General features: G+C 42.0%; 1 protein-coding gene across 8 annotated transcripts in view; it reads left to right on the top strand.

The window, feature by feature from the left end:
• Nucleotides 1-15,528, top strand: part of GLI3 (GLI family zinc finger 3) — a 303,320-nt gene that overhangs the window by 173,125 nt on the left and 114,667 nt on the right. For all 8 annotated transcript variants that reach the window (XM_047420208.1, XM_047420207.1, XM_047420205.1 and 5 more), the window contains one exon: nt 14,287-14,392. In XM_047420208.1, coding sequence (XP_047276164.1) covers nt 14,287-14,392 — 106 coding nt within the window. The remainder of the gene's footprint in view (nt 1-14,286; nt 14,393-15,528) is intronic.

Raw genomic sequence — 15,528 nt, 5'->3', positions numbered from 1 at the left:
AATGGGGAGCCCTTGTTGAAAAATTACTAAGAATTTCAAGACGGCTACTGCGCGTAACATTAAACCATGCTCGGGCCCTTCTGACCACAGGCCCAGGGGCTGCACAGGCCCCATGCCTGGGTAGTTGGCCCTGCTGTAGCTTACAGAGCACTGTAGTCAGGCACATCTGGACTTGAGGCCAAGCTTTGTCAGTTCCTAACTGAGCGACTTTAACTTCTTACCTTCTCTATCCCTATTTTCTCATTTGCAAAATAGCATATGAATACCTACTTCCTTAGATTGTCATGTGGTATAAGCAAGAAAATATATGAAGAGTGTTTAGGGCAGTCCTTAGTACCTGTGAGTGCTCAGTAAATGATAGTTCTTTTTTGAGCGTATTTGTAGCTGTAACTTTTTTTCTTTTCCCTGAAGGTTAAGCTGAGGACAGTGTCTGTCTAGTGTGAAGTTCAGGAGACAGAGTGAGGTCCTTGCCACAGACCTTACTTAGGGACAGAGATATGGAGGACTCTTCCTGGGTCTTATGATCAGAGAATGCTTGAGGGCAAGAGAGAAGCATGACCTGAACCTTCAGATTACTTGCAAAGCTGAAGACACCCACATAAAGTTGTTGACTCTCATGGTAACTTGGGTGTTTATGTTGAGGAAGAAGGACTTAGAAGGAACGGTGACTTCTTAAACATGGGTACAGTCATGTGCTGCCTAAGGATATTCAGGTCAAGGACTGACCACATGTAAGACAGTGGTCCCATAAGATTATAATGGAGCTGAAGAATTCCTATCACCTAGTGACATTGTGGCTATCATAACGTCATAGTACAGTCACTTTACTTTTCATAAATTTAGTGCAGCCTAAGTGTACAGTGTTTATAAAGTCAACAGTACTGTACAGGGATGTCCTAGGTCTTCACATTCATTCACCACTCACTCACTGACTCACCCAGAGCAATTTCCAGTCCTACAAGCTCCATTAATGGTAAGTGCTCTATATAGGTGTAGCATTTTAAAAATATTTTAATACTGTATTTTTGCTGTACCTTTTCTATGTTTAGATATGCTTAGATACACCAATATTTATCATTGTGTTACGGTTGCCTACAGGATTCAGTATGGGGACATGCTACCGTACCGTTATAGCCTACGAGTAATAGGCTATACCATACAGCATGGGCGTGTAGTAGGCTCCACCATCTAGGTGTGTGTAAGTGCACTCCATGATGTTCACACAATGACACAATCATCTAAAGACATATTTCTTAGAATGCATCCCATTGTTAAGAGATGCATGACTGTTATTCAGAATTTATGAACCACCTTCACTTATGTCACCTGGGGCCTTGTACAACTTTGTGGAGTCAACAGAGTTAAGTCTTACTAGCCTTATTTTACGGATGAAAGAAAATTTATATTATGGCTGTAGTGATTATTGTAATTTGTTTTTATAGAAATCTAGAAAATACGTCTTTAAATGGGGGAGCCTTTTCAGCTGCCTTGGGCAAAATGGAGAGCAGATAAATTCCCATGGGAAGGGTGTACCCAGCCAAGGGTTGCAGCATGCATCATTCAGTGTGCTGAGTATTTGGCCTTTTCCCGATTTTGGAGAAGGTAAAACTCAGTAGAAAGGATGGCTTTTCTAAGGATTCATATTGAGGGTGATAAATTCTGTACAAGTATATATTGGTGTCAAGATGACCAGTAGGTTGCCATCAATTTGGTCTGTTGCCTAGTGTCAGTTATTAAATCCATGCTTTGTTTCAAATGTTTTGTTTAAATCCCGTATTATCATGCTTCAAGTCATTAGTAACAGTTGGAAACAGCAAAGAAGCATGAGAAGCAGTCTTGCACTCTCAAAATGAGTGTAGGCCACACCCTCTGATTAGTGGAAACTCATTGAGGAAGTGCAGATTGGGGTCATCTTTGTGTGAGTGTGTCCACTATTACGCATCCATGTGTTGAGGCTATAGTCCCTAGGGCTGTAGGTGTGGACCTAGGCGTACAAGGTATAGATGCAGACTCCAGAAGCAGACCATGTTCTCTGTCCTTAGGGGCACTTGGAGCACATGGACATCATTGACATCAGATACCTACCAAGTATAGTTTATGAAGACTGGTCTAGAAGCCAGGGGTTACTTTGTAGAGAGGGAGGAGAGGACTCAGATGGAGATCACATTAGAGCCTGAGTCTTGTTAGACAAGGTAAGCAGCTGCTGAGTCCAGATGAAGGGCCAGTGAGATCACCACTGAGGCTGCAGAAGCGGAAGTGCGCAAGAGAGCTTGAGGCCTCAGGGAAGCACAGGCAGCAGACAGCCAGTGGCCTAGGCTCAGTGAAAGGAGCCTCAGGACCACTGCCTCCCCAGAGAGGAGAGTCCCCATCAGAGCCCAGCTGAATAGGTTTGTTGACACCCCCAAGCCTATCATCCTCCCCAGTCCTAAAACAGAACGCTGGCAAACTGAATTCCTCTGGGATGTGTCTGAGCACATTAGCTTGTCTGGACTGCAGGAATCATGGAGGGGAAGAGTGGGCAATGAGTGGCCTCTGCCTTTTATGGGCATGGTGGGCTTGCAGGCCCAGGCAGGATGCCTCTTGCCTATAGCATAGGTTAGACATCCAAGGCATTACCATAGGAGCAGGTGCTCTAAGGGGTGGACGGTCAGAGATAGTCTGAAATTCATTCAGCATTCCAACTGGAATTAAGCTAAGAATCAAAATAGGAAGCCAGATGAGATTGCGAGGAAGGGAAGGGTAGCCAACAAGAGAGGAAGCCACTAGTGGGAACTTCAGAGAGTGGAGCTTGGAGTAGTTCTGAACCAGCCTGCAGGCAGCTGTGGGGCTTTTTATCTGCACATCCAGCAATGAGTATGAGGTAGCTGCAAAGTGGACGGTGGACTTGAGAAGGCATTCTAAAGAAGAAAGGTATTTCGGACTCCTTCAGATGATACCATTTGATAGATGCTCACATAGCCAATGTCTTTGAGGTGTGTGTAAAATGTGCAGCTTGTGGCTAACATAGGGTTGCAGAGAAAGGAGAAATAGAAGAAAAATGGGGAATGTTTTCTACTTGTACTCCCATGAGCCAAGAAATGTGAAGTGGATTTTTTTCTTTCTAAGCAGCGGGGGATTCTCTCCCTTTTCTATCATTTCCTTGCTCATCCTTTCAAGGAAGCCATGTCGTGTGCTTTATTGTTTTACAGTCATGGTGAAAGAAACCCTTAAAACAAACTCTTTGCTTTAAAGCTTTATGTGTTTCTGCAAACAATGATGCTTCTTAGACAGTGAGGGTTCAGAGTTTAAGGGACACAAGAAAGTGGAGCCTTTTAATGCTCCCAGTGTGCAGTAAACATGCTGGAATTTCAATGGATTCCAAAGCGTAACAATAATAGCATTAAGTACATGCCAGAGCCTTTGATGTTATTGATGAAAAAAAAAAAAAAAGTAGGTGGTGGTGGGGGCAAAGGGGCCCCTGTCATTTCTGTCATGAGCTTTTAAACTTTTGACCTCCAACCTTTTGTGTCTAAGAGCTTTTTCCATATGGGTGTTAGCAGCCTGATCAAGTATCCTGAATTCACTGGAGCCATCAGTGTTTCTCTGATGGGAAAGGGCATTCTCAGTCAAAAGGTCCCAACCAGGATTGTGATTGCTGAGCGCCCATCAGTGTCTGCCCTGTCTTAGAGGTGGTGGCATGGGGTAGGGTGGTGAGTTTACTCACTGAAGTTACTCACTGCCCAGCAGAAGGCAGGCAGCCTGGTCAGGCTGGAAGCTGCCTTTCAGAGTGCTAGGATTTGGTCCAGGGTGTGCATGCATCTGCTGGGCCTTGGCCCTGGGCTCACTCTGAACATGGGAAGCATGCAGAAAACTGCACAGGGAGGATTCCAAAGAGGAGACAGCCCATACCTGTGGGTTCCCCTCATTTTGCCTGTTGTTGGAGGCCCCTTAGGTAGATGGAAGTGTCCTGCAGTTTCCAGGAGGGATGGCTAGCCTGGTCCACCACTGTCATTGCGTGGCCTCAGTTTCCTTTCATGTCTTTCCTCCCCCTTTTCACCTTTCCTAGAACATACATTTATTGAGTTCCTGCTGGGTATACACGGATAAGTGGGCCTCTTCTGCCCTCACACCCCAGACCTCCTGGGAGGGAAAGAAGACAGTTCTGACCTGTGGGTGTGTGCACCCTGGCAGGGACTCATCCCCATACTGCCCAGCAGGAAAGGCAGTGTGGTGTGCTCACCCCCATGGCTGTGTTGGTATAAGCTCTGTATTCAGTAAATGTGTGCTTGTCTGAGGAAGCGCACTGAGGATGAGCACAGGGCCGTCAGAGGGCAAGGCAGTGGGGAGGACATGATGCGGGTCCAAGTAGAATTCCTCGGGTCGTCCCTACTGGTTCTGGCCAACCTGAATTATGGAGAAGGGAGGAAGGAGCACTCGATCCCATGGAGCCCCCTGGGAAGCCTGATGGAGGGGGTGGTGTTTGTATTGAGTCTTGAAGAGGGGGTAAGACTTGGGTAAGAGGGAATTTGTCCTCAACTGAGGGGACACCATAAGCCATGAAGTGCATGGTGCCTGAGGGGGCACTGACTCTCGGATGGGGAGGTGTCCTGGACAGAGCTTGGTGGCTGGGGCCTCAAACTCATGGTGAAGAGCTTGGGCTGGAGTGGGGAGGCTATCTTGGGCTACTATACATTTTGGGAGAAGGGAGGGATATGGTTCAGACTTGGTTTTAGGGATGCTGGTGTGGGGAGTATAGTTTAGATAAGCTATGATAAAAAGCCTTAACTCTGACATTGTTGTGTCAGGAAGTGGAATGTCTAAGAGCCCTGGTTCTGAAGTAAGAAAGACACACAGCTCTACTACTGTCTCCCCCTGTAACACTGGAGAAGGTCAGTTTCCCCATCCATAAGAATGGGCGTATGAATAGTACCTGCTTCTCAGGGTCAGGCCCCAGGAAGAAATAAATGAGGTGAATCTAAAAGGCATTGCACATTGCTTGACCTGCATTAAAGTATTCAGTGACTTGCACTTGTGCTCATCAAGATTGTTTTATTATTTTTTATTAATTACTATTTATGGGGCAAACCTTGGAAGACCTTTAGTTGTTGATTGACAGGAACTGCAGATGGAGTGGATGGTCCAGATAAAAGAAGCAGAGTCAATAATCCTTCAGAGCTTCTTGCCTGGTTTTGAGCAAAATGAATGTGCCTCATTCATTTCTTAATTGCTACAAAGTTGCCAACCAGCACACTCTTGAAATACTGCTGGTCTTCCAGAGACTTCCAAATATTTCTGGAAGTGATTCTTTATGATTGATGGCAGCATTCTCTCTTGTGCAACTGTGAAGACAAGGGTAAACCTCTTGATATGCTGAGCCTGAGCCCCGACAATCTCTGGCAGGCTTGCATTTGTGCTGCCTGAGAGCTCCTCAGGGTTGCCGCCTCCAAAGCAGGATTGACATTTCATGAAGGTACCTGGGTTTCCCTGCCCTGGCAGGGATCACGTTTGAAGTGCCAAGTCCTGTGTGCTCTGGTATTGGAATAGAAAGAGCACCAAACTTGCATCATAAGGCCATAGTTTTATGCAACACTGGGTAGATCATTTAGCTTTTTTGAGTGGATAATAAAATTTTCCCTTCTTAGTTCTCAGGATTGTCTTGATAATAGAACTTAAGAAGAAACAAGACTTAGGAGAATAATAATAACGTTTTGGGAATGCTTATTTTATGTCAAGAGGATTCCTTAAGAAGATATATACTATTATGAAATATACTATCTTATTTTGCTTTCACATTTCCCTACCTGCTTCTGCTAGTTTTGCAACACTGAAAGCTCTTTTTGCAGCAGGTTAATTTTGAATAGAATACAACTTCCAAACCTCCCCTTTGTGGATCAGTTGTTGGTTTCCTAACTAAACCAGGCTTAGTTTAAACTTCTGATCCTATTGACTCCAGGGTCTCCGTAGTTAGATCTGAGATAACCAAACAGTTTTTATGGAAACATTTCCTCTTCTGCTTTCATTTCATAACCATTCGAGACCAGCCTGGCTCACATGGTGAATCCTTGTCTCTACTAAAAATACAAAAATTAGCCGGGCGTGGTGGTGGGCACCTGTAATCCCAGCTACTCGGGAGGCTGAGGCACGAGAATCGCTTGAACCCGGGAGGTGGAGGTTGCAGTGAGCTGAGATTGTGCCACTGCAGTCCAGCCTGGGCAATAGAGTGAGACTCAATCTAAAAAAAAAAAAAAAAAAAAAAAAAAAAAGAATCCAAATGCATATTTTTAGAGCTATAACTGTGACTTTTGAATTTTGTGATACAAAAATACAGTCATTGATTTAAAAATTTGTCACTGGTAACTAATTTCCATTTTTAATTTCCAAGCTTATTTATTGTCACTGAAAATACACCATTAGCATATTTCAAAGTAAACAGATTTGTCACTTTTAAGTGATTCCTTATATGTTTACATGTGATTTCCCTGAGAGAGTTCTGCAGTTCAGCTAGAATGGATGTAAACCTTTCCTTATTTCTCTTTGCTGCCTTTCCCTCTGGTTATTTCTTCTCTCTTATCCTGGCAGGAAAGCTGAAAACAACAAAAATGTTGGATGCATATATGTGGAATCACAGGCAAGACACATTCCAGAGTCTCTGTTTGGAAGGATATGGCTGGTCAGCCAGTACGTAGATGTGGTTTTCTTTCCACCACTGGGCATCCACTGGATGTGATCTTGAAGGGAGAAACATGCAGACTTACGGACAGAAGAAGTTAGAAGTTTCCAGAAAGGGGCGAGATCAGTTGTTGGTTCACGACTGAGGACATACCTGAAGCAGTAAAGGCAGAGGTTTCTTTTGTCAGTTCACTTGCAGAGGAACATTTGGCATTTTCTTGTGGGAAACACATGACCATGTTTGTTGAGGAGCACAGAAGGGATCTATCTGACTGTTTAAAAAAAAGGATGAATTGTGGGTGTGGCCAGAGTGTAGTGATGGGTAGCATTTAGGTCTAAAATACTAATTAATTTAATAGTCTGCATGCTTACACAAAAGAAATGATAAAAAGCTTGTTATTTGAGTAGTGGAGAATGTCCGTGGAAGTTTATAGACCAGGAGTCAAGACTGTCAGGTAGTTGCCAGAAGTAAAAGCTTATTGGGTTTTAGAAATAGCTTACTTTTTATTGTTAATTAGCATTTTATGTAAATTTGTATTTGTTTTACTTAATTTATAAGGTAACTTCAATTTTCAAATGCTTAGCTACTGCTATTATTGCTAGATTTATGGTTAATTTCATCCATTATCTTGAAATTTGTCTACTTGTTACGGGTTTTGCTAAAATTAGATGAGATGTCTATTGATTAATGATTAATATGAACACTTTTACTATATTAAGTCAGTCACACAAGTTAGCATATGAAGAAAGTGCATTGAAAATACTTGATGTACTTAGTGTTATCGCTTAGACAACACAATAAATAAAAAATTGATATTTTTTTTTCTGAAATGTAATAATTTCTGCAAATTACTTTATCATGGTACACTGGAATAGGGTTTGTCAACCTTTTTCCATAAAGGATAAGATAACAAATGTGTTAGGCCATGGGTTTCCTGTCTCAGCTGGTCAGCTCTGTTGTTGGCGTGGGAAAGCAGCCATAGGCAATATGTAAACAAATAAGTATGGCAGTATTCCAATAAAACTTTATTTACAAAGCAACCTAAGTGTCCATCAACAGATGAATGGGTAAAGAAAATGTGGTACATATACACAGTGGAGTACTATTCAGATGTAAAGAAGAATGAAATCCTGTCATTTGCAACAACATGGATGGAACTGTAGGTCATGATGTTAAGTGAAATAAGCCAGGTGCAGAAAGAACTTGATCTCACTTATTTGTGGGACCTAAACATTAAAATGATTGAACTCAGAGGGATAGAGAATAGATGGATGGTTACCAGAGGCTAGGAAGGATAGTGGGGGTTGAGCAGGGAGTGGGAATGGTTAATGGGTACAAAAAAATAGAAAGATTGAATGAGACCCAATGTTTGTTAGCACAGCATGGTGACTATAGTCAAAAGCAATGTAATTGTACATTTTAAAATAATGAAGAGAGTATAATTGGATTGTTTATAGCACGCATAATAAATGCTTGAGGTGATGGATACCCCATTTGCCCTGATATGCTTGTTATGTGTTGCATGCCTGTGTCAAAATATCTCATGTGACCCATAAATATGTACATCTACTATGTACCTATAAAAAATTAAAAAATTAAAACATAACTTTATTTACAAAAACCGGCCCACATGTGATAGTTTGCAGTTTCCTCCTATAGCATATACTCTTCAAGTTAAGGCTCCTGCCATTGTGTAAAGTGACAAAATAATAGATAATTTAAAAAAAAAGTTTCAGGGCATTTTTACAGGATTTCTAGAGTATGCTAGAACCACAGCTTCTTTAAACTTGCATTACCCTATAGAAGATCATATAAATACGATGTCTCATTCTGATGATTCCGGAGGAGTTTCTAACCCCACATAATATGCTTGTGAGACCAGAAAAAAGATTCCTAGTGCTCCATGAGGTGATGCTGTGGGGATTCTGCCCAGCAAGTCCTCAGCGGGGCCCTGTGGGGGTAGCACTTCTTAGATTCCGCTCACGGTAGATCATGGTGGGCCACAGACTGTCTTGCTCAAAACACGTTGCTCTAGACTCTCCTTGTCAGGTTACCTGGGGTGTCCTCAGAGGGCGGATCAGCTCATTTCTGGTGCCGTGTCATCCATAGGCAGGAATTGCAAGGTTGTCTGAGTTAGTAAGTCAGTCTGCATCTTGGAGTCAGTCCAAATGGCCTCCCACAGTGCACTGAGCCCTGGAAAAACGACTTGCAGGCACGAGGATGATGACTGGAGAAGCTCCATGGTGGGAAGAGACAGTGATGAGGCCTGGGCTGCCTCTCTACTATCTCACTAGAGTGAGTTCCTTGGCAGTCGGATCTCTCATTCTGTCTCTCCTCTTCTCTCCCTCTCCTGCTTGAGACCTTTCATTTTATAGAAGCTGGATGGTGATTTTGGTTGTAGCATAGCGGATGCTGTTTAATGATATTTCTGCTGATGGCAGATGATTGAATGAGTTTGAGGGGACTGGCCATTCCTACAGGCTGGACTAACTCTAATGACAGAAAATCATCCCTAGCTGATTGAGATGATTCCAAGCTGATTGAGTAAATTCCAAGGCCAGGGTACAGACGACTTCAGTATTTAAATCACCCATGAGGACTTCTGCACTTAGCAGTTTACTCTTGCACTGTTTCCCGGGCACTTTCAGACCATTCAAGTATCATTTGGTGAATTACTCCTTCAGGGCACTAACTGAGAGACTTTGATCTCTCTTTTTTAATCTGCAATTTTTGTATGTAAATTTCAAACCTTAAAAGACAGTTTCCCAGGATGGCATCCAAGAGATCTTATAGCCTGAGGATACTATAACTATTTCTTGGGAGAAGGATGCAACTAGAGATAAATCTCCAAGTGTCTTTCTCGGTTATTCTCTGGCTACAGGTTTTATGATCAACCCAGGCTGTTGTGAAGAGACCTAAAAATCAATGCCTCTCGTTCCTAATGAGACCCTTAATGCTCAACGTGATGACAGCCAGTGTGAAATGGAATACTGACAACTCTACCCAGCACAAATATTTTTGCTATGCATTTCAGTTTAAACATGTGTCAAGCCAGTTACATATTTATAGGGTTTAAAGACCATTCCACTCAAGCCTGGGAGAGTGCACACTCTTCAAATCTCTGTTTAGTGTAAGAGGACTCGGGTACAATAGTCAAACCTCTCGCAGGTCTGTAATAAATCATCTTTGCAACCATAAGCATGTACAGTTGACTGCTTACCACTGCTCCACAGACCCGCCCCCACCTGGTAGAATTTTAATTCCCTCAGTAAAATTGATTCCACCAGTTCTGCACATTATTCTCCCTGTCTTCCATTTAGCCCGTTAGTTTGCTGACAGTAGAGTACACAGCACTTAGCAGCTGGTTTGTGGAGCCATCAGTCAGGAAATTGTATGATAAATAGGAGGTAGCCAGGTTTCGTGGCACTTCCTTCTGCTTCAGCAGTTTTCGCCTGACTTTGGAGAAGTCATCATGTGGTGTTTTGTCAAGGGGCAGGGCAGGAGATGGCTGCGGTGCAGTAACTTATTACATATACGCTTGAGTTATGATGCGTCACAGCTGCACTGCTCATGTGTAAATAATAAACTGCGAGCTGGGTAATTATGGCGGCTCTGGCGACAAGGGCCTGTTCTCGTCATGTGGGTTTTCTTGGACAGCTTTTTGGGCCGATGATGGAATATGCCGCTGAGCCACATAGAAACGACAAACCAAGACACCAGCAAGGCAAGTACTCAACGTTTGAGGATTCAGGAGCATTTTTCAAGAAATGTGTTAGGATTAATGCCATGAGATGCCACGTATGTTACAGGACATGCCCATACTGCTTTTCATTCTTCATTTATCCTGTTAAGCTATAGTCAAGCACGTCTTGAATTGGAAGAGGGGAGTTCCATTGTATTTTCCCAGAAAGTGGCTTAAGAGGTGTGATTTCTACTAATAACCAACACAAGGTATAATTGTCCACACAGACTTCTGCAATCCAGGAGAAGTTATTTTAAATTTAATCAAGAGGGGAAACGTAGAAACAGTGAGACACTTAAACCAAAATCAGATGTCTTTGGTCAAATCAGATCATATCCATTAATTTTCTGTTCTTTATTTAAACATAATTCTCGAATGCAGAATTCATAAATTTTCTTGGGACATAAATAAGCATTAAGAATTTGGTGCAGTGTTAGGAGATGCATCACATATTTTCAGTCAGAATTAACTTTTAAATTCATAGAATACTGTGGACTCAACAGTGAGAAATGACTACTTAGTGTCCCAGTAATTGTGTTTTATATTTTCCTCTCAAATTTATTGTTGCAGTGCTAGGTCATTTTATCCTTTATTCTGAAAGAGGGAGAGAGGGTGAGAGAGAGAAAATTTAAACCCTGAAAGAATAATTTCTTGAAAATGAGAAGATGGCAGTGTCTTTTAAATGTCCTTGATAGCATTGTAGGTTTTCCTTGAGGAAGATAATTTTATACTTGTTGGGTACACGCTTTTGATTTTATGGGATTAACTGGTTGGTCTTCACTCCATACACGTAATCACTGCAACTTCATTATAAACACTCATATAAAAGATTGTGACTGTTACTTCGGGGATATATGAGGCATATATTAAATGTGGAATAAATTCACACATTTTGAGTGAAAAACGTGGTTTTGTACTTTGTCATAATTCATAGTTGCACCCACATAGAGAAAACCAGATACAGTTGACACCCACTTACCTGGTGGAGAGAATTTCATCATGCAGAACACAGCCAAAAGCCATGAAATAAAGAAGTGAAAATACCTTCCAACTCTGACATAGTTGTCAGTATCCCTCAAAACAGCCGCATAAACTGGTGCATGTGCGATGCCCTGAGGAGATGGGTACGACTTTATGAATGCTGAATTCACACCCTGTTCTAGTAAGTTTATTTCTGTGATTGCCAAGAGCAGATGATGTGTGTTAAGTAAGAAGTCTGCAGGGGGCATGCGTGTTTGCATTGGCAGTGATAGCTGAAAGGTGTGGAAGAGAAAGAAGAGCCACCCCCATATTTCATGGCCATCCACCCTCACCCGGATTTGAATCTGATTGATTTGGGTTTGTTTTAAAGTTTAAAATCAGTAAACATAAACTAGTATATGTCAGGCTTTCAAACGAGTGCAAAAGATGACCCCACTTAATTTTTTGTTGTTTTAAGAAGGGTGCATAATTTCCTTTGAAAATGGTTAAATGAGAGAGAATGTTTGGCTCTACAGAGGGTGGCTTTTAACTGTCAAGATGGCTGAACTATGTGCAGCAATGAAGGTGCCAACATTGCTGAATAAACATTCAACTTAAACTTTCAAACTTACCAAATCAACTTTCAATATTTACATTACAAATAATAATACCTACACCCTTTCATATTAAGTACTAAGTGGTAAACTTAAAATATAATCAATTTTTATATGGACTTTACAAAATGTGTAAAGTGTGATAAATGAGGCCGGGCGCGGTGGCTGACGCCTGTAATCCCAGCACTTTGGGAGGCCGAGGCGGGCAGATCACGAGGTCAGGAGATCAAGACCATCCTGGCTAACACGGTGAAAGCCTGTGTCTACTAAAAATACAAAAAATTAGCCAGGCGTGGTGGCGGGCGCCTGTAGTCCCAGCTACTTGGGAGGCTGAGGCAGGAGAATGGCGTGAACCCGGGAGGTGGAGCTCACAGTGAGCCGAGATCGAGCCACTGCACTCCAGTCTGGGTGACTGAGTGAGACTCCGTCTCAAAAAAAAAAAAAAAAAAAAACTGTGATAAATGATCAGGTCATTAGTATATCCCTCACCTGTTGAATTTTCAGCATTGTTGTATATCACGATACTACAGTGACAGTGATACAAGATCAAACTGATTCCTTCCTCTTTCCATGCCCCCCACTCCCTCCCTACTCAATCTTATGACAGTCACAAAGTACGGTGAGTCATTGACATTTCAGTAAAATAGTCCTCTGGGAAGTTTTCTAGATTCTAGATCTGGTGGTAAACTGTAGAATTACAGCCTCGGGTCCTTCCCTGGTAGACCACAGAGCTTCTATGAATGCTATGCTCATCGTTTTTTTTACTCTTACTGGATTTTTTTCTTCATAAACAGAGTCTTATATTCTTGAAGGCAGCAGGGACAAAATCAAAACAAGGGAAGCAATGTACTATAACTTTAAAAACATGTTTGTTGTGCTTATATTCTACTAGTTGCTTGTTGAAGAAAATTTGGAAAATAGAGAAATGGGTAGGGAAGAAAATCAAAACCACCTGAATTCAACATTACACACATCTAATAATCATCCATTTCCACCCAGTTGGGATGGCGGTGTTGCCGACCTCGGGGGATGCAGCCGACTTCAGCGGGGGGACGCTCTGTGCATTCTTAGGTGGTCGATCAGAACCTGTCCGCTGAGAGAAGGCCCCATTGGAATTGCCTTTAGAGACTGCTACCCTCAGCACTAGGGTGAAATAACTGGAAGCCATTCTGAGGCTTGTGGGTGTACACACCAATCCTCAGCAGTGTTGGCTCTAGGCAGGCTCCCAGCATGACCAGTGTGGACCCGTCACATTTGAAGAACATGTCCTGGCACATTTTGCTGTCGTATTTAGTCTCATAGACATGGAGTCAAACCTCCAAGTTTTGGACCCCTTCATTTTGCTTCTTGAAACTTGGGAAAACCTTGACTCATCAGTCATGCTTCTAAGTATAAAATCTGTTAAAACTCTCTTCAGTTTTTACAGTGAATCACTTTTTTTTTTTTAATAAAGGTTTATTTTCAGTGACAATGGGTGTGAGTTACTAGGAGTAAGTGGGGGTGGGAGAGCTATTTTTAAGGAAGAGCACACACCCAGCAGCTCAGGAACCCGGAGCGTTGGACTGGGGAAAGGTGGAAGCAGGAGAGGGCCTGGGTCCAAGGTGAATGTTAACACTACCTTGGGAGGAATTCCCTGAGTTTGGCTCTAGATGTCTGTGAGTCTGAGTGGGTCAGCTTATCTCTTCCTGGAGGGCTGCACAGTGTTTCCCTGGACAGGGCATAGATTTGCTGCCTTTGTGTGGGGACTATGGAGGCCTAGCCCGGCCAAGAAGGAGGGGAATATGTATTTAAGTTAAAAAAAAAAAAAAGAAGCACATGCATGCATGTGTATATCAGCCACAGATTCTAGCAAGCCTTTCACTCTTAAAAGTATGGTGAGCATGGGAGAAATGAAACTGGTATTTGTATTACAGTGTCTTTGTCTAAAACTTAACTTGACAATGTAGTTTTATTTTTCAAATAAGTGTGTTTTAATCTCTTCCCCTTGGCTTTGTGGCTCCCTTCAGCCCTTCTCCTCTGGTCAGCCTGTCTTTCAAGATAGGGAGCCTGTGTTGCTCCTCTCTTTCTTGCTTTCGTGTCTGGGTTTGAGTTGCAGTCAGTCCCAGGCTCTGCCTTCTCAGGTAGGTGCAGGCACTACTTACTTAGTCACACTGCTGCAGTACCTCACAGAGCTTCATAACTAACCTTAAAGAGTTCTTTTACAAATTCTTAGATTAAGTGTAGGTAGTGAAGATACAATAGTATAGCAATGTTGCTTTGTGAATCGGAATGCTGTTTGAAAGTGTTCATTTGATATAGATTGGGCTCTCTCTTCTTTTCAGACCCTCCTCATCTTTTCCCTGCCTTCCATCCTCCTGTACCAATTGATGCCAGACATCATGAGGGCCGTTACCATTACGATCCATCTCCGATTCCTCCATTGCATATGTAAGTATTAACACTTTCTTCATTAATGAAATGGAACGAGATGCTGGCTTTTACCATCTCAGGACTTTTTGTTAATGGCATGTCCACTGGGCTTTGAAGATGTGATAGAAGTGTAAGATTTACTTTTGAAATATAGCAAGCCTATCTGTTCGTGGGTTCACTGAAGCAAATCCCTGCTGCTTCCTGAGGAATGCCTGTCACACTAGGTCGCCGACAAGTATTTCCTATATATTTTGCTGACGTGTGTTCTGTGGGCTGTAAATACTAAATTAAAAAGTAAAAGCCTAATGGAAAGTTACCACTCAGAATATGTATTTGGTCGACATTAGGTTTGAAGTTTGTTATGTTCAAATTTCTGTAACATGAAAGTCCTGTTCTGGGGATCACAAGGAATTGTAATGAAATTTTTATGGTAAATTTTCATAGCCCCTATGTAAGTACACCAGAAGTCACTTGATTGATGGGAATGTCAGCCAAACAAAATGGCAAATGTGATCGAGCACATGGTTTACAGAAAGATAAAAGGAAAGAATGCTAGTGATAACATACATTAGAAAAGGAAAAAGGAAATCTCTTGGAAGTAAATACCATCTTCCTTGGTTTGGAGGAAATAAAGGATGGTGGAGTTGCAAAGTAAAACAGTATTTTTTTGTAGTACTGTCCAGGAAACTGTCATGTACCATAATAATTGGAGCCACTCTCTGGGATGGGCTGTCCCTTGCTAACGGCCTTGATATATACATTTATTCATATCTAATAATCACCCTTTATTCTGAGACAGTAAAGTTAGAAAAGCACAAATAATACTTTGAAGAATAATGCTGGTTATTCAGATGGTAGATTGCATCTCCGTGGCTATTAGTTACAGCTGTGTAATTACATATTATGCCAAAGAAAAATGAAGTTGTTTTAAAACAAGTCCTCCTCTGTGAACAGAATTAATTGATATTAACAATCCTAACTACATGCCCAAGTACACATATAATATTTTACCAACAGTTTTTTGGATCCATCTCCCATTACTGAATTGTAATTTCAGAGCAGATTTGCCTGGAGGTAAGTAATAAATCTGTGTTGCAGACTTCTATAAGCATTAAAGGAGAAGTGGGTATTTATAGAGAGAGAATGCAGAAACT

This window comes from Homo sapiens, chromosome 7, assembly GCF_000001405.40.
Source record: "Homo sapiens chromosome 7, GRCh38.p14 Primary Assembly".
NCBI lineage: Eukaryota > Metazoa > Chordata > Mammalia > Primates > Hominidae > Homo > Homo sapiens.
This window is presented reverse-complemented; position numbering and strand designations above follow the sequence as displayed.